Source organism: Homo sapiens, chromosome X, assembly GCF_000001405.40.
Source record: "Homo sapiens chromosome X, GRCh38.p14 Primary Assembly".
Lineage (NCBI taxonomy): Eukaryota > Metazoa > Chordata > Mammalia > Primates > Hominidae > Homo > Homo sapiens.
In genome coordinates, this window is record NC_000023.11 from 11,758,153 (window position 1) to 11,777,872 (window position 19,720).

The 19,720-nt window shown below is 42.3% G+C and overlaps 1 protein-coding gene across 5 annotated transcripts, besides 3 other annotated features; it reads left to right on the forward strand.

Moving 5' to 3' along the window:
- Nucleotides 5–384: a silencer, noted in NCBI's record as "silent region_20662". NCBI's record gives its function as "represses an Ori minimal core promoter by ATAC-STARR-seq in GM12878 lymphoblastoid cells {active_cell/tissue: GM12878}" and the evidence as "EXISTENCE:reporter gene assay evidence [ECO:0000049][PMID:35858748]".
- Nucleotides 5–532: a biological region, named in NCBI's record as "Sharpr-MPRA regulatory region 2065".
- On the forward strand, nucleotides 7–17,620 carry MSL3 (MSL complex subunit 3). 5 transcript variants are annotated; one of them, NM_078629.4, is made up of 13 exons: nucleotides 85–213; nucleotides 1,641–1,723; nucleotides 2,251–2,346; nucleotides 2,685–2,785; nucleotides 3,348–3,430; nucleotides 3,978–4,100; nucleotides 4,685–4,845; nucleotides 5,628–5,786; nucleotides 7,315–7,577; nucleotides 10,421–10,530; nucleotides 14,004–14,103; nucleotides 14,469–14,553; nucleotides 16,828–17,620. In NM_078629.4, the coding sequence occupies exons 1-13, from the start codon at nucleotides 112–114 to the stop codon at nucleotides 16,925–16,927; spliced, it is 1,566 nt and encodes a 521-aa protein (NP_523353.2). In that variant the 5' UTR covers nucleotides 85–111; the 3' UTR covers nucleotides 16,928–17,620. The 5 variants fall into 5 exon arrangements, with proteins under 5 accessions (NP_001269103.1, NP_523353.2, NP_523352.1 ...); NM_001193270.2 differs by lacking the exon at nucleotides 85–213 and adding an exon at nucleotides 430–621 and having other exon boundaries at nucleotides 16,828–17,601; NM_001282174.1 differs by lacking the exon at nucleotides 3,348–3,430 and having other exon boundaries at nucleotides 7–213; nucleotides 16,828–17,601.
- Nucleotides 238–532: an enhancer, noted in NCBI's record as "tiled region #2065; HepG2 Activating DNase matched - State 1:Tss, and K562 Activating DNase unmatched - State 1:Tss". NCBI's record gives its function as "activates a minimal TATA promoter and a strong SV40 promoter by Sharpr-MPRA in HepG2 and K562 cells {active_cell/tissue: HepG2 | K562}" and the evidence as "EXISTENCE:reporter gene assay evidence [ECO:0000049][PMID:27701403]".

The window sequence follows — 19,720 nt, forward strand, 5'->3', positions numbered from 1 at the left end:
CATTCCCGGCCCCCCCCGGCCACGGCGCACCGCCTCCCCGCCCCCGCCCGCCCTCCCCCACCGCGCGCGCTCCGCCCGCCCCGGAGCCTCGCCCTCCGCCACGATGAGCAAATGAGCGCGAGCGAGGGCATGAAATTTAAATTCCACTCAGGGGAGAAAGTGCTGTGCTTCGAGCCTGACCCCACCAAGGCGCGAGTGCTGTACGATGCCAAGGTGCCGCCGCGGAGGGACAGGGAGGAGGCGCGGGCTGGGGGACCCGGGACCGGGGGCGGGGGCGGGGGCGGACGGCCGCGCGGAGCTGAGGGACCGGCCGGGCTCCTCGGCCTGCGAGGAGCGGTGCGGCCGGCAGGGGGCGCTCACAGGGCGCTACGCCCGGGAGTCGGGGCGGGGTCTGGGATGCTTCCACTTCCTTCCGTCAGGCCGGGCGGCGCACGCGCGGTTGGGAGCCTCGCCCATGCTTTGTCGCGTTACCGGGGCTACCGTTTGCGCCCCCGACTGCAACGGTGGCCGCTGAGGGAGGAGGCTTCTCGAATACGGTTTCTGTCTTCGCGTTAAATGTCTCCTTCTGTGCGGCCTGGTGCCGGGTGGGCTCCTGTGGGACGCCCTGGCCGTCCGATCCAGGTTCTAATTCATAGTTACACGGCGCTGGCCGCTGACTTGCGACGTTGTGTCCCTGGGACCCTAGTCCAGTTTAGGCCCCATCCCGCCTGTAGGCCGTGAACCCCATCCCGAGGGCAAGGTTGGCCCAGTGTTTTCGTACCCCAGGGCCTTGCAGCATTTACGTTTTCAAACTCTGAAGGATTTACGTGGGTCTGACCATAGTTGATGGGAATCGCGCCCCGGGCCGGTCCACCTAAGTCTCCGGGAGCTGAGCCACATCTTGCAGCTCCTCAGATTTGGGTGGCGGGCAGGAGTTGGCACCAGGTCTCCCAGATCCCCAAGGAAAGCACCCAGGTGCTTTCATTTCAGAGACCTGGGTTCCTAGGGCCACCTGGGCGAAGCCTTAGGCGGCAGGGACAGGGGCAGTCCCAGGTGTGTCTTTGGCGATGTCTGGACAGCTCTGTCCATTAGAGATGCTAAAGGACATCCCTAAAGGGATGAGCATATTCTGCCTTCAGTTCCCTCCCCTGCTGCTCCTGTCTTTTAACCGCGTCTGCTATCCCTCTTTCTCCTCGCCCTCCAGCCTCCTCGGGGCGGAGGGGGGGGGGCACGCCCCATCATTAGTTTTAGTTGTTCCCTCTAGGGACACAACAGGGAGGGATTCCAGAGTCTCCAGCTAGCCATCCTGGCACTGGACATAGGGGAGCCCAGGAGACTACAACTCCCAGAGCTCTCAGGGCTGCAGCTTTCATCTAGCCTGGAGTCTCTCCTTAGTGACAAATCGGCTGGCCAATGGCTTCAGAAGCCTCACACTGTCTCACGCTCAGAGACCAATCACGGGGTGGTTGGACGGATGTTTCCTATTTTGAAGGCGTCCACTTGGGGGAAAAAAATGAAAGGAAAAATATTTCAACCCGGCTGTCGGTCTAAAAGAGGAGAGAATGCTTTCTTTAAAAAAGGGTCTGTGAATTAGTTTTCCTGATCTAACTTCTAATTTTCTGTATGTTCTGCCATTTGTGGGAAATATTTCTTCGTTTCAGATTGTTGATGTTATTGTTGGGAAAGACGAAAAAGGCAGAAAGATCCCAGAATATCTGATCCATTTTAATGGTTGGAACAGAAGGTGAGTGAACTTGTTAAACCAGACTGAAAATTGATTGTCTTTGCTGCATAGAAACATTGCAGACTTAAGTTTCAGAAACACTTGTAGAGAAGTTTGTTTCATTTCCTGCTTTTACTTTGTAGCATTGCAAACTTCTTTAAGTTTTTGAAACACTTGTAGAGAAGTTTGTTTCATTTCCTGTCTTTACTTTGTAGCGTTGCAAACTTCTTTAAGTTTTAGAAACACTTGTAGAGAAGTTTGATTCATTTCCTGTTTTTACTTTGTTACCAGAACTTGCCTATTGTGACGAATAGTTACTTTTAAGTCGATTGTATTTGGATTCTGTCTGGGTGATTCTGGAAACCCCAGTTGTTTCTGTGTCTGAATGAGTTACTTTTTCAGTTTATTTGCCTCCTCTTTGTGATTTTAAAATATTTAAATCGTTTTCTAAAAATGTAATTCTGGGGCATTTCTATTGCTTTGAGGTACTTTTAGTCGTTGTTTCATATCAAACTAAAGTACTGAATTTTCCTTTTTTGTTCAATTAGCTGGGATAGATGGGCAGCAGAAGATCATGTGCTTCGTGATACCGATGAAAATCGTAGATTACAGCGTAAATTGGCAAGAAAAGCTGTAGCTCGCCTGTAAGAATACAAAAATCAAGATATAAATGTTATCCAATGTGTTTTCTCTTAGTGTTTTAGATTTTTATGATATAAAAGTAATACAATGACAAATATCATTTATTAAATAATTTTAAATATTTAAAGTGTGTAAGGGGAAGAGTGTTCCTATGGTATTCTAAATAACAGTGTTTTCAGAGTGGTTATTGTATAATTTTCTGAAATGGAAATTACCATTTATGTTCTAAAGTTTAATAATTTTTCAAATGTATTTCATTGTTTATTATATCTTGTTTTGATCTCAAGACTCACGAGTTCAATGTCAAAACTTATTTCAGTTGTTTGCTACTCTTTTTCAGGAGGAGCACAGGAAGAAAGAAGAAGCGCTGCAGGTTGCCTGGTGTGGACTCTGTCTTAAAAGGCCTCCCCACTGAAGAAAAAGATGAAAATGATGAAAACTGTGAGTAGCTTCACTTCATTTCTTTTGGCTGAAAGAACTTCCACCTAGACTGAGAGAAGGATTCACTGAAATTCTAGACAGGGAAACACTTCAAGCTCATTATGTATAATATTTGCCCCATTTATTTTTGACAATTAAAGTAGCAGTCAATATAAGTCAGTAAATCAGTAATAGAACGTTAGCAGAGTCATGCTTGTGACTACTGCCCTCTCGGCCAGCATCTTTGTACAAACCCCTCATGGGTGTGTTCTCATGGGATCTGTTCTCTTTTTGGCACCTCCCAGGCCTTGGTCCCATTTATGAATGCAACAGGAAACTGTAGGATCCTAACTGACAATACACTTTCCGATCATTAGCTAGTGTGATTTTTGCATCCATTGAAATTGGTTGTCAAAATAAATTTCTATTGTGAAAGATACAGTATTTGTGTTTGGCATTTAAAAATACATGGAATTGCAGTTTATTATTTCCAGTAGCACCCACACTACACGTGAAGATCTGTAGACATAAGGGTTGGTGAAGTATAAAATGCGAGTTTACCGGATGCTTTTGTTTCACCTAGCATTAAGCAGTTCCTCTGACTGTAGTGAAAACAAGGATGAAGAAATAAGTGAAGAAAGTGATATTGAAGAAAAGACTGAAGTGGTATAAAGTTTTTATTGTAAAAACTTTCTCTTTGTTATATATTTTAGTGGTAAAAATTCACAGTGAAATACTCCAGTTGTGAATTGTTTTCTAAAGATACATCTTTTAAACCAATAATGTAAATTTTTATTTGACATTTAAAGAAAAACAACCCTTATTTATAGTCGCCGTATGAGTCTCTCAGTGGCTCTTTATGCCCCTAAAATGTTTCCACAAATTATAGTTATCTTTCTTTCCAGTCAAATTATTTGTTTTATAATGATTAATTTTTTAATGGAGCCTACAGACTGTGATGTCTTCTGCCTGCATCCAAAGTTAATATAAATCCGAGTGGTAAACTGAAATGGGAAAGAAATGAAATACATATTTGCATTGTGTTTAGTGCCCCCAAACAAGTTAACTTTTGGCCTTTAACATACTTTTAATTAGAACACGTGGCATACTATGATTGTTGAGGATTAGCTGGGTTTGTTTCATAGCAGGCCTTCCTTGGATATTGACTCTTCTACTGTTTTAAATAGTTAAAAATGGAATTTTGATATTGCAGAAAGAAGAACCAGAGCTTCAAACAAGAAGGGAAATGGAAGAAAGAACAATAACTATAGAAATCCCTGAAGTTCTGAAGAAGCAGCTGGAGGATGATTGTTACTACATTAACAGGAGGAAACGGGTATGTAGGGAGAATGTATAAAACATTAATTTGTTTGGCATTTTCATTTTGCCATAGTTTGCAATCATAGACGTAAGCAATAGCGAATCTTGGTGGAACGAAATTTATATTTTTCAGCTTTGTATTGAGTCAGGTTTTAAAGTTCTCTGCCAGTGGTGCTGTGCAGCTGATAAAAATTGAAACTCACACAGCTCTGGCTGCCCATTAGGGTTGTGTTGGGAGCTTTCCAGAATGCTGCTGCTTGTGCTTCAGCCCAGAAATTAAGAATTAATTGATCTGTGGTGGAGTCCAACTGCAGGTATACTTGAAGAAGTTCCCCAGGTTGTTCTCACAGATCACTGAGATTAAGAATCACTGCTTACATCTATTCAAAAAAGTAATATTGTAATCTACATAAGGTTATGATCAGTAGAGAAAAAAAGATCAAAGAGATTGCGAACATATTTAAGAAGTTCTATTCAAACAGAATTGGCTTTGGTTTATTTTTGAGTTAAAAAATGATACAGACATGACCAGTGTTTCTTGGAATATGTGGTTTGTTACATTAGGATGCATACATCAGATGTCTATGTTTTTGTTAACAGTTAGTGAAACTTCCATGCCAGACCAACATCATAACGATTTTGGAATCCTATGTGAAGCATTTTGCTATCAATGCAGCCTTTTCAGCCAATGAGAGGCCTCGTCACCATCACGTTATGCCACATGCCAACATGAACGTGCATTATATCCCAGCAGAAAAGAAGTGAGTACTGGCATGTTTGGTGTTTTGTGGTTCTCTCTGTATTAGAGAGGTGGCTTCCATTTAGAACAGGTGACACTTGTCTCTATTCCGTTATTTTGAATTCATTTAATATTTAATAATTTATTGATAATTCATTGAATCATCTAATATTAAAACCTTGTCACTTTTGTGAAATCTTCAGTACTTCAATAACTATTTACACATCTTACATGGATGCATTGAAAGTGCACTGCCTCAGCACTGAGACAGTTTTTTCAGTGATACTGTTTAGGGCGAGAACTTTCCTTGAGAAGCACCAGAATGGGCAGTGAGGATTTCTCAAAGCTTGTTTACAAACAGGTTTTCATTCCAGTCAGAGAAAGCTTCCTTGTATCCTGCCTGGTACACATGACCCAGCTAGATGAGAGGCAGAAAGGTGGAGTGTTGGAGTTAAAGCAAGGGTTAGGGATTCACTAGGGTCAACCCGTTTCAGCTTGCAGTGATAGGGGTGTGTCCACCTGTCCACTTTTGCAGCACAGGCTGCTGGACACCTCGTGTGGCCTCAAACATATTTATTTGTGTTTAATGGGGTAAGTTAAAGTGACTGCTGTATTTTCTGCACTTTATGTTTTCCTATGTAATCTTGACAGTAGCTACAAATCCATTTCATTTTGTGTGTATGTAGGTGTAGTATATAATGATTAGATTTAAAACTGCCCTATTAAAAATCGGCAACTTCATTGTGAACATTTGGAAAGTACCTCTTACTTGTGTCTCTAATCTCTTCTTTTTAATCCTCCCAGTGTTGACCTTTGTAAGGAGATGGTGGATGGATTAAGAATAACCTTTGATTACACTCTCCCGTTGGTTTTACTCTATCCATATGAACAAGCTCAGTATAAAAAGGTGACTTCGTCTAAATTTTTTCTTCCAATTAAGGAAAGTGCCACAAGCACTAACAGGTAAGTTATATAGCCTGCACTTTCACCCTCACATGTCAGCAGTACAATGATCAGATCCTTGTTTTGAAGAGTTCAATCTGATGGTGTGGGCCAACATGTTTGGAGGAGGGAAGGAAATGAAAAGTGTGTGTCCTGGTGGTTTTCTTTTTTCCTGGGTAAGCTAAGTCATCATTCACTTTCATATGGCTCTGGCAGATTTTACCAAGTGAAGACCCCAGCATAGAGAACTTAGGTGGGATGATGAGCAGCTCTCCCATTTTGGGGAAGACGGTAGTGGGTGGGGTGAAGAGAGCACAGGCCGGGGAGGGTGGAAGGGGCAGGTTTGAATTGAGTCCCCTCACTGGCTGTTTGTGTTAGTTGCAGAGGTTTCTTAGGAGCCTCCTTCTTTTGCAGGTGTGGGATGGACGGAAGGCAGGCCTAGCTAGTAGTATTAAATGGGAATGTTCACACAGGGCCTGCAAACTTTGGCCTTCAGTAAAAGTTACTTCTCTTCTTGCTCTGCGATGTCACCACTTTTCCTCCCTCAGTTACCGAGCATGCTCTGTTCTTTTTTGAGGGGGCAGGGAGGGGGATCCTGCAACCTAAAGTCTTTCCCTTAATCTCTATAAGGTATTGTGCTCGCTCCCTCTTCCCTCTCTTCCTGAGAGAGTGGTCTGTTCTCATGATTTCCACTCATCTGTCTCCTCTGTTAACCACTTATTATCTGCCTTCATCTACTGCTGTGCTGCAAAACTTTGCCTGCACGTGAACTGATAACCTCCCACTTGCAGTGTGCTGCCCTTTTTCTCGGCCACCTTGCCCTGCCCTCCCTTTCTCCCTCTGCTTCATGGCTGTCAGCTCCCCAGCTTCTCTTTCCGCCTGGCCGCCATCTCCTCTCAGCCATCCTTCCTTTGGTAGCTTCTCTCTCTCCTTTCCCTTTCCCCATGTCAGTTTCACCCCAGGTGAGAGGCCTGCAGGACTCACTGGGGACCTATGTCAAAGTCCCCAGGGCCTACTTCAAACCTTGAGACTCCTCCGGGGTGGGTTGTGTGTTTTCACACAGCAACCCCAATGCTTTTCTTAGTCCTGCCAGTAGTTACGTTTCAACGAGGTGGTAGGGTATTCTTGTTCTCTAGACCAGCGTTTCTCAGCCTCGGCCCTATTGATGTTTTGAATCAGATCTTTCTTTGTTGTGGGGCTGCCTGTGCAATATAGGATGTTTAGCAGAATTAGTGGCCTTCACCCACTAGATGCGGATAACACCTCTTTCCTCAGTTGCAGCAACCAAAATTGTCTCCAGACATTGCCATCTGTTCCCTGTCAGGGCAACATTGCTCCCACTTGAGACCCACTGCTCTAAGACACATATAACAGGGGCATCACAATCTTTAATGCCAGCGTGCCTTGCAGAGTTATGGAGAGGGTCCAAGTGACTTCGGTACATATTTACGACCCTCCTGGAGTAGAGAGAGCATTTCGTGTCTTCAGAAGCACTCCATGTTCTGGAAAGGCCCTTTGAGCCATGTGTGACATCCTCCATCTTCCCTAGGAGCCAGGAGGAACTCTCTCCCAGTCCGCCTTTGTTGAATCCATCCACGCCACAGTCCACAGAGAGTCAGCCGACCACCGGTGAACCAGCCACCCCCAAAAGGCGCAAAGCTGAGCCAGAAGCATTGCAGTCTCTGAGGCGGTCCACGCGCCACAGTGCCAACTGTGACAGGCTTTCTGAGAGCAGCGCTTCACCTCAGCCCAAGCGCCGGCAGCAGGACACATCCGCCAGCATGCCCAAGCTCTTCCTGCACCTGGAAAAGAGTAGGTTCATTCTCGGGTGCCCCAGGCCGGGGAGAGCCAGCGTGTACTTTGTGTTTAGTCAGTGCCAGGCATGGTGCTGAGGTTACATGTGTGTGTGTACAGTGCGTGTGATTCCCATGTCCAAAGTGCTGTCATGCTGCCTGCTTTCTGGAGCTGTAGAAAGTTGAAACACCTGGCGCAGATTGCAGCGCAGCTGTGTTGGAGGCAGGACTGGGCTGTTTCCTCAGCCTTTCTTTTTTGCCATCACTCTACCACTTGTGAGCAAATTGAGTTATCAGAATTCTATGTATTGTGTAGCTAGGCCTAATGAAGCATTCAAAATGAGCAATGCTAATGGGTTGTTTAGCTTTTTGTTTTCTTTGTACTCTGTCTCTGTAGTCTCTCCATTCTAAAGTTTAATTTGGAAAGGTCTGTCCTGAATTATCAAAGTAAGAATACTCAGATTTCCATAAGCTCTTCTCACCTCCTCTTAGCCCAACTCAAACTCCATCAGATCTTCTCACCTTGATTTTGAGCTGGAATGTTTCAATGAGCAAAATAAATTAGACAAAAGTTTACTTTCTTTTTTTCCAAAATACACACAGGTTGATTTGCTGTAATATAAAACTTAGAAGTAAACCACTGCTAATTAATCATTTTAAACTTTCAAAAACTGCTAAAACAGGTGCCATGAATCAGGTACAATTACTGTAGAAACTAACATTAGCTATTATACACTAACCAGGCATTTTTCCCAAATTAATTACAATCTGGTTGTTTAGCCTATGCTAATTAAGCCCTCTTAGTAGTAGTATTCACTTTACATTGAAGACCTCATTCACAAATACAGGGTGCTCTGTGCTTATATCCTTCCACCCTTGACTGCCAAAAATGTGTGAAATGGAAAGTTGATGGCAGCAGGGCCGACGATGTCACCTGGTGCCTCGCGGGCTCAGTGAGTTAGGAAGTCAGCAGCAGGGGAGGCAGCTTGCATGCCTGTCCCCCGGCACACTGTGTGGAGGTGGAAACAGAGCTACGCCAGCAGGCGCCAAGCACCCAACTCCAGAGATGGAAGCCTGGTGGCCTTCCTTTCACAGAGCTCAGCTGCTCGCAGGCTGTGAAATCTAAGACACCCCTCATAAATATCAAAAACACCTCCAAAGCTAACGTCAGGGTAAAACTACTTGGAGTCGAATCCCCATGCCCCAGTAGGTGTATCTTGTGTATGACCTGTGCCCTGTTCTTCCCTCAGCCTCGCCTGCTGTGCTGACTCCTTCAGGGGTCCTTCTAAGCATCATCCTGTTGGAACTCCCAAAAGTCATCCCAGTGCCATTCTGTGTTCAGGTGCCCATTTCCTTGTGTACATCCTGTCCCTGCCACATCCATAAGCTCCTGAGAGAAAGGTCTGACTTGTTGATTGTGTCACCCCATCACAGCTCAGTGTTGGTGGCATAGTTCCAGGTGCGTGAAAGTATTTGCTGATTCTTTGAAGATTGGGAAGGCTCAGAAGGGCAGAGTTGAAGAAGGCATACCTTTAAGAGAAGCCCTTTGAATAATCAAGTGCTAAAACAAAATCAGGTGCTTTTTTAAAACAGCTTGATTGAGATATAATCCACATACCTTAAAATTCACACATTTAAAGTTTTTAGTGTCTCCAGACACAGTGGTTCATGCCTGTGAGACTGGGGCAGGAGGATCACTTGAGGCCAGGAGTTCAAGATCAGCCTGGGCAATATAGTGAAACCCCATCTCTTAAAGAAAAAGTTAGCCAGGTGTGATGATGTGCACCTATAGTCCCAGCTACTTGGGAGGCTGCAGCTGTGGCTGTGGCTGAAGCTGGCGGATCGCTTGAGGCCCAGAGTCTAAGACTGCAGTGAGCTCTCATTGGGCCACTGCAGTCGAGCCTGGGCGACACAAAGAGACCACCCTGTCTGATAGATAACTAACAAAATAGTTTTAGTTGGGCAAAATTAAAGAGTTGGGCAACCATCACTGAAATCAGTTTCAGACATTTTCACCACTCCAAAAAAGAAACCCCACATCGACTAGCAGTTACTCATTTGCTTCTCCCTATGTCCCCTGACAACCACTAATCTATTTGTCTCTATAGATTTGCCAGTTTGGGGCATTTCATATAAATGGAATCATCTGTATGTAAGTGGTTAATAAGGATTGGTTGATTGAAGATTGAAAAGGGTCAGCTGGGAAAATTTTTAAAAAGACTGTTTTTAAAAAGGTGCTACAAAATAAAGTGCTATCTTTTTCTGTTTCTCTTTGTACTTTTTATTTTTTATTTGTATTTATTGATGTGAAATTCACATATAAAATTAACCATTGTAAAGTGAATAATTCAGTGGCACTTAACAGCTTCATTGACACATCCACATATACAGTTCAATCCAGTAGTTTTTAGTGTATTCACAGAGTTGTGCGACCATCTGCACAGTCAATTCCAGAACATTTTCAGCACCCCCCCACGAGAAACCCCATACCCAGTAGCAATCACTCCCCACTTCCCCTTCTGCAAGCTCCTGGCAACCACTAAGCTGCTTTCGGTCTCTCTGGATTTGCCTACCCTGGGTATTTCATATAAATGGAAACATAGTATGTGGCCCTTTGTGATTGGCTCCATTCACTAAGCATAGTCTTTTAAGGTTCATCCACATTGTAGCATATGTCAGTGCTTTATTCCTTATTTTTTTAACCAAATAAAATTCAGGTGCTATCTGTTAGGAAAGTCTTATCGTTAAAGGTTGGTAATTTCTGAGAACCAAGTTTAGATTTATGTTCTGCAGTTTTTAACAGTCTTGAGGCAGTCTTTAATTCAGTTGCTGTGTGAATAATTTCATCTTTTTCTTTGGAAGAGACACCTGTGCATAGCAGATCATCTTCACCTATTCCTCTGACTCCTAGCAAGGAAGGGAGTGCTGTGTTTGCTGGCTTTGAAGGGAGAAGAACTAATGAAATAAACGAGGTAAAGAATGTTTGATGTTTGTTCCCAATGGTTCCTTTATTTGTGATTACTTCAATTCTATAGGTGGAAGTCAAGGTTCTTAAAGCATCATGTTGCTGCTATTACTGTAAACATTATCAAAATTGTACGTAATTTTATGCTTAACACTGTGGGTTTTGGTTTCTAAAGTGAGAAAATTGTTAGGATTCCAGCCCTACACTGACAATCATCTTTTAAATAAGTGCAATTATTGAAATACCAGTATTTTTACTTTATAGAACAGATGTCAATTTCCACAGAGGGCCAGAGGGTAAATACTTTCGGCTTTGTGGGCCATATGGTGTCTGTCAAGGCTACTTAACTCCAAAAGTAGCCACAGATAGTATGTAAATAAAATGAGTGTGCTATATTCCAATAAAACTTGATTTATGGACACTGAAATTTGACTAGCATTTAATTTTCATGTGTTTGAAAATTTTTTTTGTTTTTCAATCATTTAAAAATATAACATCCACTCTTAGCTTGTGGGCAATATAGAAACAGGCAGTAGTTGGGCGGGATGTGACCAGCAGGCTGTAGTTTGCTGACTCCTACTTTAAATCCCTGATTCCCCTCCATCATTAACAGTAATACCAATAGCCGTCCCTTCAGGGATGGGCTCTAGGCCACCACTGTGCCAGACACTTGAACCAAATACTTTGAATTCTCGAGATCAGCCTTGCCACCAGATTTCCACTTGATAGATGGGAAAACTTTTCATTTTAAAACTATTTTTAAGGCCCATTAGGTGATCTGTAGGTGGTGAGTTTGTCAGGGATTCTGAAGACGTCTCAGTTTATCAGCATATTCTGTGAACGTCTCCTAGGAGGTGAGATTTCCTCTTTTTTTAAGGTGAGTAGGAGTTGCACAAGGGAAAATGGCTTTGCTAGGCAAAGAACATTTTTTTCTTTTTTTGACACAGGGTCTCACTCTCATGCTGTCACCCAGGCTGCAGTGCAGTGGCAGGATGTTAGCTCACTGCAGCCTCTGCCTCCTGGGCTCAGGCGATCCTCCCACCTCAGCCTCCTGAGTAGCTGGAACTACAGGCTCATGCCACCATGGCCTGGCTAATTTTTGCATTTTTTTGTAGAGACTAAGTTTTGCCATGTTGCCCAGCCTGGTCACCAACTCCTGAGCTCAAGTGATCCTCCCGCCTCTGCCTCCCAAAGTGCTGGGGTTACAGGCATGAGCCACTGTGCCCAGCCTAGGCAAAGAGCACTTGATGATGGGAAGAGAAGTCACAAAACTTTCTTCCAGACGATAACTGTCTTCAGTAGTGTGTACCCTAAGGTCTCTTGAGAGACTGCTCAACTCTGCTGTTCCAGCAGGAAAGCCCTAAACAAAGGGACGTGGCTCTGCCATAAACAAAGGGGTGTGGCTCTGTGTGCTGCCCCCTTAATTCATTCATGGACACTGAGAATTTAATGTCATGTGATTTTCACATATCACAAAATATTATTCGTATGATTTTTTTTCCCCAACCATTTTGAACATATGAGCATGGGGCTGGATTTGGCCTAGGGGCTACAGTTGGCTGACCCCATAGAGAATCTAGAAAGCCTAATTTGTGTTATGATGATTGTTGAGGGTAGGTTAGGAAATCCCTAGTTCAAGCAGTCCCTGACATGCCCATTTTTCAGATAAGAATGCACTACGAATTTTATTATTGAGGGGAAATCGTGAATTTAAGGGGCATCTGAGTTGTCAAGTAAGGGCTATTCCCACTCCGGTCTGCAGTGCGAATGCGCCATCTAGTGGTTATAGGTACAGCTGCAACTTATAGTTTGAAAGTGCTTTCTGGGAAATGGTTGGGGTTCAGGCGGCTCTCACAAGGACTCATGAGACCTTCGTGGATTCCCACCTTCTTACGTACGTCTACCACCGTGTTTTTTGACCAGGGCTCTTTCTCTCAGTTCCAATCGCTGCTCCACAGTACTAGGGGCTGGTCTGGGCCAGCACATGCCAGTAAAGGTCCATCAATGATTCCCATGCATACCCCACTGGGAATCCCCCGACTAGAAACCTACCATTTTTCCCCGGAAAATGTGTCTTCATAAATAGAAGATTATAAACTGCCTTGAAACACAGAATTGAGTGAGTGAGATAGAGCCAGATGACCTGCTTTTGTACGTGCCAAGTGCTGTTCATGCCTCTGAGATTGCAAAGTCCTGTATGTTTCCTTTGAGTCACTTTCAGAATGGTTCCAAAGCTTCAGCTGTGTGCACTGGGCAGGTGCTGGGGATGCTGTAAAGATGCTGGAACGATCCCTTCCCTCAGTGCTCCACAGTGCAGAAGTGGGGCGCTGGGGGTGGAGACCTAGGCGAGAGTCTAGGCCTGTCTAGGCAGGGGCCAAAGTGAAGCTAGGCCTTTGTTCTGGATCCTTCAGGGCCACCTTGGTGCTTATTAGCTTCTGGCAGTTCCATGTTGTTAAACTGACTATATCAGTGTTTCTGAGTTTGTGGGGGCATCTTTCTTTCTGCTTTGTCTGCTGGTGGACTTCCTCCAGTCTGACTGTTTCCATATTGAATATGACGTCCCAAAAGCCAAAGTAGCAGCTCAGTAGAGTAGGCTCTGGTTCTATAATTTGCTGAAGTACTTTTACGGAAATTCATCAGAGAGTTTTGAAATGCAACTCTCCCTTTAACAAAAGCCCCAGGTCCACCCACAGTTCTGAAATTCAGAATGAAGACAAATCAGTTATCAGGTTTGAAGTCTATTTCAGTTGATTCAAGGGGTTAAAAGATTCAAATTCGTTTCCATAATGAATCTAACAGCAAGAAATTAAGGAATCTTGAAACAACAGTAATATTATTCAGAACATCTATGGATTACTTTTTAATGCTTCATTCTCTCTCTAGTGCAGCAGGATTTTCTTTTTTCTGGGTGGAGGGGAAGGGGGCCAGAGTTTCACTCTTGTTGCCCAGGCTGGAGTGCAGTGGCACAACCTTGGTTCACTGTAACCTCTGCCTCCTTGGTTCAGGTGATTCTCCTGCCTCAGCCTCCCAAGTAGCTGGGATTACAGGCGTCCACCACCACACCTGGCTAATTTTTTGTATTTTTAGTAGAGATGGGGTTTCAACATGTTGGCCAGGCTGGTCTCAAGCTCCCGACCGCAGTTGATCCACACACCTCGGCCTCCCAAAGTGCTGGGATTACAGGTGTGAGCCACCGCGCCTGGCCATGCAGCAGAATTTTCAATAAAGAGAAAGGACTAAAGAACCTAAACAGTTACAGTTATTTATAGAGAATAACTGTTGCGAGTTAAGAAATTAAAGACTTTCTTGATCTATTTTAAGTGTTTTTGCCTTTCATCTTTGTTTTTTGTAAGCTTGTGTTTATTTTGATCCAATCACTTATTTTTTCCCCTCTACGTACAATTTACTGTCATAATTGTTAGGTGGTTGGAAGTGTCTCCATTAAGAATAACAAAAGCATTCAATTCGTGCTTTTTCCAGGTCCTCTCCTGGAAGCTTGTGCCTGACAATTACCCCCCAGGTGACCAGCCGCCTCCACCCTCTTACATTTATGGGGCACAACATTTGCTGCGATTGTTTGGTAAGAATCCTGGTTCCTGCCTTCTTTCCATTTTTCATTTTGTATTCTCTTGTTAGCTTTCTGTACACCTTGTGGTTTGGGCTATAATTATCTAACTAAGAAATTTGGGGATCCAAGAAAAATTAAAAGTAATCTATCAAAGAAAAGGCATTGAATGAATCTTAAATTTCATAAAAATTATGTTTGTAATATTTGTACTGCTACTCTGTCTTTGTTCAGTAAGAGTTTGGGGATTTGTTTGATAATGTGGATGTTAATTTCAGTTCCAGTAGAGATAAGGAGGGGCCCAGACCTTCCCTGAGTGAATCCTATGCATTGTCAGATTCTGCTAATTGTAAATGGTTTTGCCTTTATTTTTAATGCAGTGAAACTTCCAGAAATCCTTGGAAAGATGTCCTTTTCTGAGAAGAATCTGAAGGCTTTATTGAAGCACTTTGATCTCTTTTTGAGGTATTTTTATTATTTTGTCAAAACTTACACCTGTTGCCATATATGTGGCTTTTCTGAACTTCTCTTTAGCACATGGGGAAGTCAGCTCTGTGATATTTTAAATAGTAGAAGTATTACCTAAGCATGGTTGGTTCTAACCGTAATGGGAATTAGGAGTGGGTTTTTTTGGTATTTCTTTTTTCCATAATTTCTCTGGTTTCTGAGTTAGGGGCATTCATTGTACAGAGGTGAAGTTTTTTTGTCTCACTAGAAGAATTTAATTTAAAAAAACCTTATAAATAGAAAATAAATTTTCTAAAGTAGAAGTGATTGAGATTGATGATAATTTAGTTTTACATTTTTTTATTCAACAGTACCTCAAGTAGTGGACTTTCCTTTGTTGCATGTACATAAACTAACTTAAATAGTAGCATTTATAGGTTGGATTTCGGTGTTTACTTTAGAATTAAGAGAAAAGACCCCTTGTCTGTGTTGTCATGTATGAATTCAGACCAAGGTATTGTTTCCTGCAGCTGACAAAGCCAGTCATTTTTTTATCTAATAGGATCATTTGATCTGAGGCTCTGCTGTGTCCTCTCCCTTCCAGATGATGTCTATGGACCACTTTCTCTCCTTGGCCTTCAAGGCTAGTTGTCCCCCTGCCTCACCCAGCTCATCCTAGCTACCTGACTTTGTTTCTTCCTTCTCTTTAAGGAGTATCTCTTCCTTGTATCCAGGCCCCACCCTGACTTATCAAGTAGGATTTACCACAGAGTGGAGAGTATCCCAGCCAGGGAAATCGTCTTGTGGTTTTAAGAGATCCTTTCATGTAGGCATTTTGAATAAAGTGTCCATGAGTGGAATTAGACTTCACAACATTTTCTTGGAAACAAGTTTCCAAAAGACCCTCTTCCCTCCCAGCCTCTTCCTCAACAAAACCCACAACTCTGTTTGGCATAAAATTTTGTAAACTGAAATCAAATAGTGCCAAGAAAATATGAAGAGTCAGTTGCAGGATAGCATAGGAAATCCTGCTAATTTTGATGCATGCCTAATACAAAATAGAAATTAGAATTTTAGGAAGTAACTTAGGAGGACTTACTAATAAACCTAGTAAGAGGTTTTAAAAACGTATTCGAAGATATCAACCAGAATCAATGGACTCAATAATGATCATAAAAAGAGTACACTCATAGAAGAAAAAGAGTTAGCTATCCAATGAGTTTTGACTCAATTTATACTGAAGAAGGTTTGCACATTTTTAGGAATTTGGGCAGGTGGGAGTCACTGGGAAGCAAGCATAAGGCAAATGTGCTTATTAGTGAATATTGCACATGTGAGAATGTCTTAGCCCTCCATGGCAAAATCAGTTGAAGTTTGAGTCAAGATATCATATGTATATTGAAGATTCTTGAATGACCAGCACATTTTTAACATCCGTCTTCATACATATGAGTCTTTCCTGTGTCTTGGTACTGTTAGCTAGAACTGTAACATGTTTTGGCATGGCAAATTAGGACACCAAATGCCATTACTAGTTGTTCTGTTCAATTTTTGTATGACTTTGCTCATATAAATGATGTACATTTCTGAAGTGAGATTTATTGTTTATAATCGTTTTTTATTTTTTATTTTGTTTATTTATTTATTTTTGAGACGGAGTCTTGCTCTGTCGCCTGGGCTGGAGTGCAGTGGCGTGATCTCGGCTCACTGCAAGCTCTGCCTCCCAGGTTCATGCCATTCTCCTGCCTCAGCCTCCCGAGTAGCTGGGACTACAGGCACCCGCCACCACGCCCAGCTAATTTTTTGTGTTTTTAGTAGAGACGGGGTTTCACTGTGTTAGCCAGGATGTTCTCGATCTCCTGACCTCGTGACCACCTGCCTCGGCCTCCCAAAGTGCTGGGATTACAGGCGTGAACCACAGTGCCCAGCCTATAATCTGTTGTTTTTAATAGTTTGTTTGAACAACAGAAAAATGTAGAAACATTCATGGGCTTTTTTTTTTCCGCCCCCAACAGAAGTGTTTATATAACCAGACTGCCACCTAGTGGAGTGTAGGTTCTGTTTCCATTTGTACACCTGATGATGGTGAAGGCATTCAGATAAGTAGTAATTCACATAGAAGCTGGATAAGTGCAGTGAAAATAATCAGTATAGAGAGATCAAAATTATAGTCATTTTTTTCTTCCTAATACCAAAAAACAGTTGAAATGTTAGTAGGTTGAAAGTCAATATTTTGCTTGATGGTATTTAGTCCTTAGTATGGTGCTCATTGGGGCTATTTTTTTTTTCCAGGTTTTTAGCAGAATACCACGATGACTTCTTCCCAGAGTCGGCTTATGTCGCTGCCTGTGAGGCACATTACAGCACCAAGAACCCCCGGGCAATTTATTAAAATGTTGTTGGTTCTGTAAGAGCAACTGCTCTGTCTAGTTTGGCGCTCTGGGTTCCAGGTGAATAACTAACAAGGTGGTGGGTCTTTACCCACAGCGCAAACACAATGCCCACCTTGGGGCTCTGTTGTTTGAGTTGCCCACATACTGCAGTTATTCTGTTAGGAATGATTCCCTGGGTGCCTGAAAGTGCTCTGACACGACACTTGTTACTTTGCAGGCCATCTGTGATGGCAAGGAAAAAGCAACTATGTTCACAGTGAAATATTCGTGGAATAGGTTAGGCCATTTCAGTAGACATTGCAGTTAGTTAGCAAGAACCACATTGTCTCTTTATTTGTTAGCATTAAACAAATTTTTTTTTGCAAATTGGTTTTATTTTTTTGATGAAGCCGAGCAACTCTGTCCAAAAAGGTTTAGTTTGTACTCGGAAACCACAAAGTAGTCTCAAAGTATTTTAGAGGGAATCGATATTGATGGCAAAAGAAAATTTGCAGCTATGCATTTGCTTCTAACGGTTCCCTCTCTGTGAAACATTATTTTTGGTGATCTAAAGAAAGCATTGCCTTTCTTATTTGAGATTTTACAGCTATACTTTGTTGTGTAATGTTATGGTTCCCTTTCTGTAAAATGTTATTTTTGGTGATCTAAATAAAGCCTGTCTTGTTTGAAAGAACCAGGAGAGAGAGTTTTCACTCTGGCCTTGTCCTCTTTAATGCAGGGTAACAGTGGGGTAACCTTTTGACTCATAACTTTAGGTTTCATTTTGTTTTTCCTTTGTGCCTTTTTTTGTTAAATCCCTCTTTGGTTTTGCCTCACTTGGCAGCAGGACCAGACAGTGGTTCCTAGAAGTTCCTGCAGTTCTGTGCTGTCTTGTTGCTGCATTGTGGTCTCATCTGGGGCTAACACCAGCTTATCCTCCTCCTCCCTCATTACCAACTGACAGTCTCTGCAGTCACTCCTCTAATCCTTATTTTAGTCGCACATGCCTCCCCTATCTTCAGATGTTTTAGAAAGTTCTAACTTCGTAGAAATGGTATCAGTACCATACCAGCATTGAATATAGCACCTGCCTTGTAACTCAACTCAGCAGACCTTAACTTCCAAAGATCACTGGTTGTGAACAAGGGCCACAAAGATTTTTTAAAAATCTGTAGATGGTTTCATCAAAGTGACTTATGCATACACTGACCAATGAGAATTAATACTGTGCACTTAGTTGCTAAGTTAGACGTGGGTTTTGGTGTCTCATCCGGAGTAGTACTCAGGTTCCTGGTAGCTTTTATCTCCATTTGGTTTATGCAATGCTTGTTTGAATCTGGCGCACCTGCAGTGTGCTCTGAATTGCTTAAAAAGCTGAATCAGTAATTACTTATGGCCAGGAAAAGGAAAAAGATTTTCCTTTGTAAGACTCAACTTGTTTAAATGTCTCCAATGAAGTGAGCACAGACATTTATATAGGCACATACCTTGAGTTTACAGTTAATTCATTTTCTAATAATGAACAATTATTTTCTTCCCCTGAAGGCATTTCTTAAATATAACTTCAAAAGTTGATGATGTGGCCGGGCGCAGTGGCTCACGCCTGTAATCCCAGCACTTTGGGAGGCTGAGACAGGCGGATCATGAGGTCAGGAGATCGAGATCATCCTGGCTAACATGGTGAAACCTCGTCTTTACTGAAAATACAAAATAATTAGCCGGGCGTGGTGGCGGGCGCCTGTAGTCCCAGCTACTCGGGAGGCTGAGGCAGGAGAATGGTGTGAACCCAGGAGGTGGAGCTTGCAGTGAGCTGAGATGGCGCCACTGCACTCCAGCCTGGGCAACAGAGCGAGACTCCGTCTCAAAAAAAGAAATAAAAACAGTTGATGCTGTGCAGCTTTGGTTGATTTAAGTACTAATTTTTCATCAAAACATCTAACCCTCTATTGTTTATTACTAATAATTCAAAATATTCCTCAGATAAAAATATTTAAATGTCTATATAATCCTTATACAAATTACAAATTATCTTCCTTTTGTTAATTTTTAAATTGTTACTTTCTTAAACTGCCAAACCTTACAGTTGTTAAGTCTTATATTCATTGTCAATGTTTTCCTTTTAGTAGTAATTTAAAGGCATGTTGAAAACAATATTTCAATAATTTCTGTATCAGACCCTTGTACTAGATCTTTGACAAAAACTTGTGAGAACAAAAAAACCATTTCTGAGCAGAAATGGAATATATAAATCATTCCAGGGTATGACGTACACTAAAGAAGCCAAAGAAAACTTATCAATTTATAAAAGTTGCTGTCTCTCATTAGATATTGTCAACTCAAAAATTTGAACAAGTATAATGACCCTGTTTTGCAGTTAAAAAGATAGTTCAATAGCCTTTGCCCTTTAAGATTTGGCTTGTCAACAGTTAAGTTTTTCTGAGCAGTTATTGACTACTTATTCTGCTGCCAGAAACTACTAGGTATTGGAAACGGGAAGAAATAAGGCATGGTCCTTGTTGGAATACAGTTAAGATAATTTTTACAGGCACTGACCATCATTTTTACTAAATCAAGTTTGGTATTAAGGAAGTGTGTTACTTTAATCAGTTCATAATATACAAAAGTGTAATGTAACCCATAAAGGTCAGCATTTTCCAAAATTAACCCTTCCATTGTCCCAAAAATAAAGTATGCTTCTATTAACTGGTTTTCAGTGCAGAGGGTTTGATCATTGAATGTTTTCATCAGTTATGAAATCTGGCCAAGATGGTGTTAAGGAACTTGATATACACTTGGGTAAAGGGGTTTCAATA

What these genes read in the sequence shown, in the direction of transcription:
- MSL3 (NM_078629.4), top strand. Translation starts at nt 112, where the DNA reads ATGAGCGCGAGCGAGGGCATGAAATTTAAATTCCACTCAGGGGAGAAA. An exon ending in AGAAAAGCTGTAGCTCGCCT is followed by an intron (nt 2,347 to 2,684) that starts GTAAGAATACAA and finishes ACTCTTTTTCAG; the next exon opens with GAGGAGCACAGGAAGAAAGA. An exon ending in ACATTTGCTGCGATTGTTTG is followed by an intron (nt 14,104 to 14,468) that starts GTAAGAATCCTG and finishes TTTTTAATGCAG; the next exon opens with TGAAACTTCCAGAAATCCTT.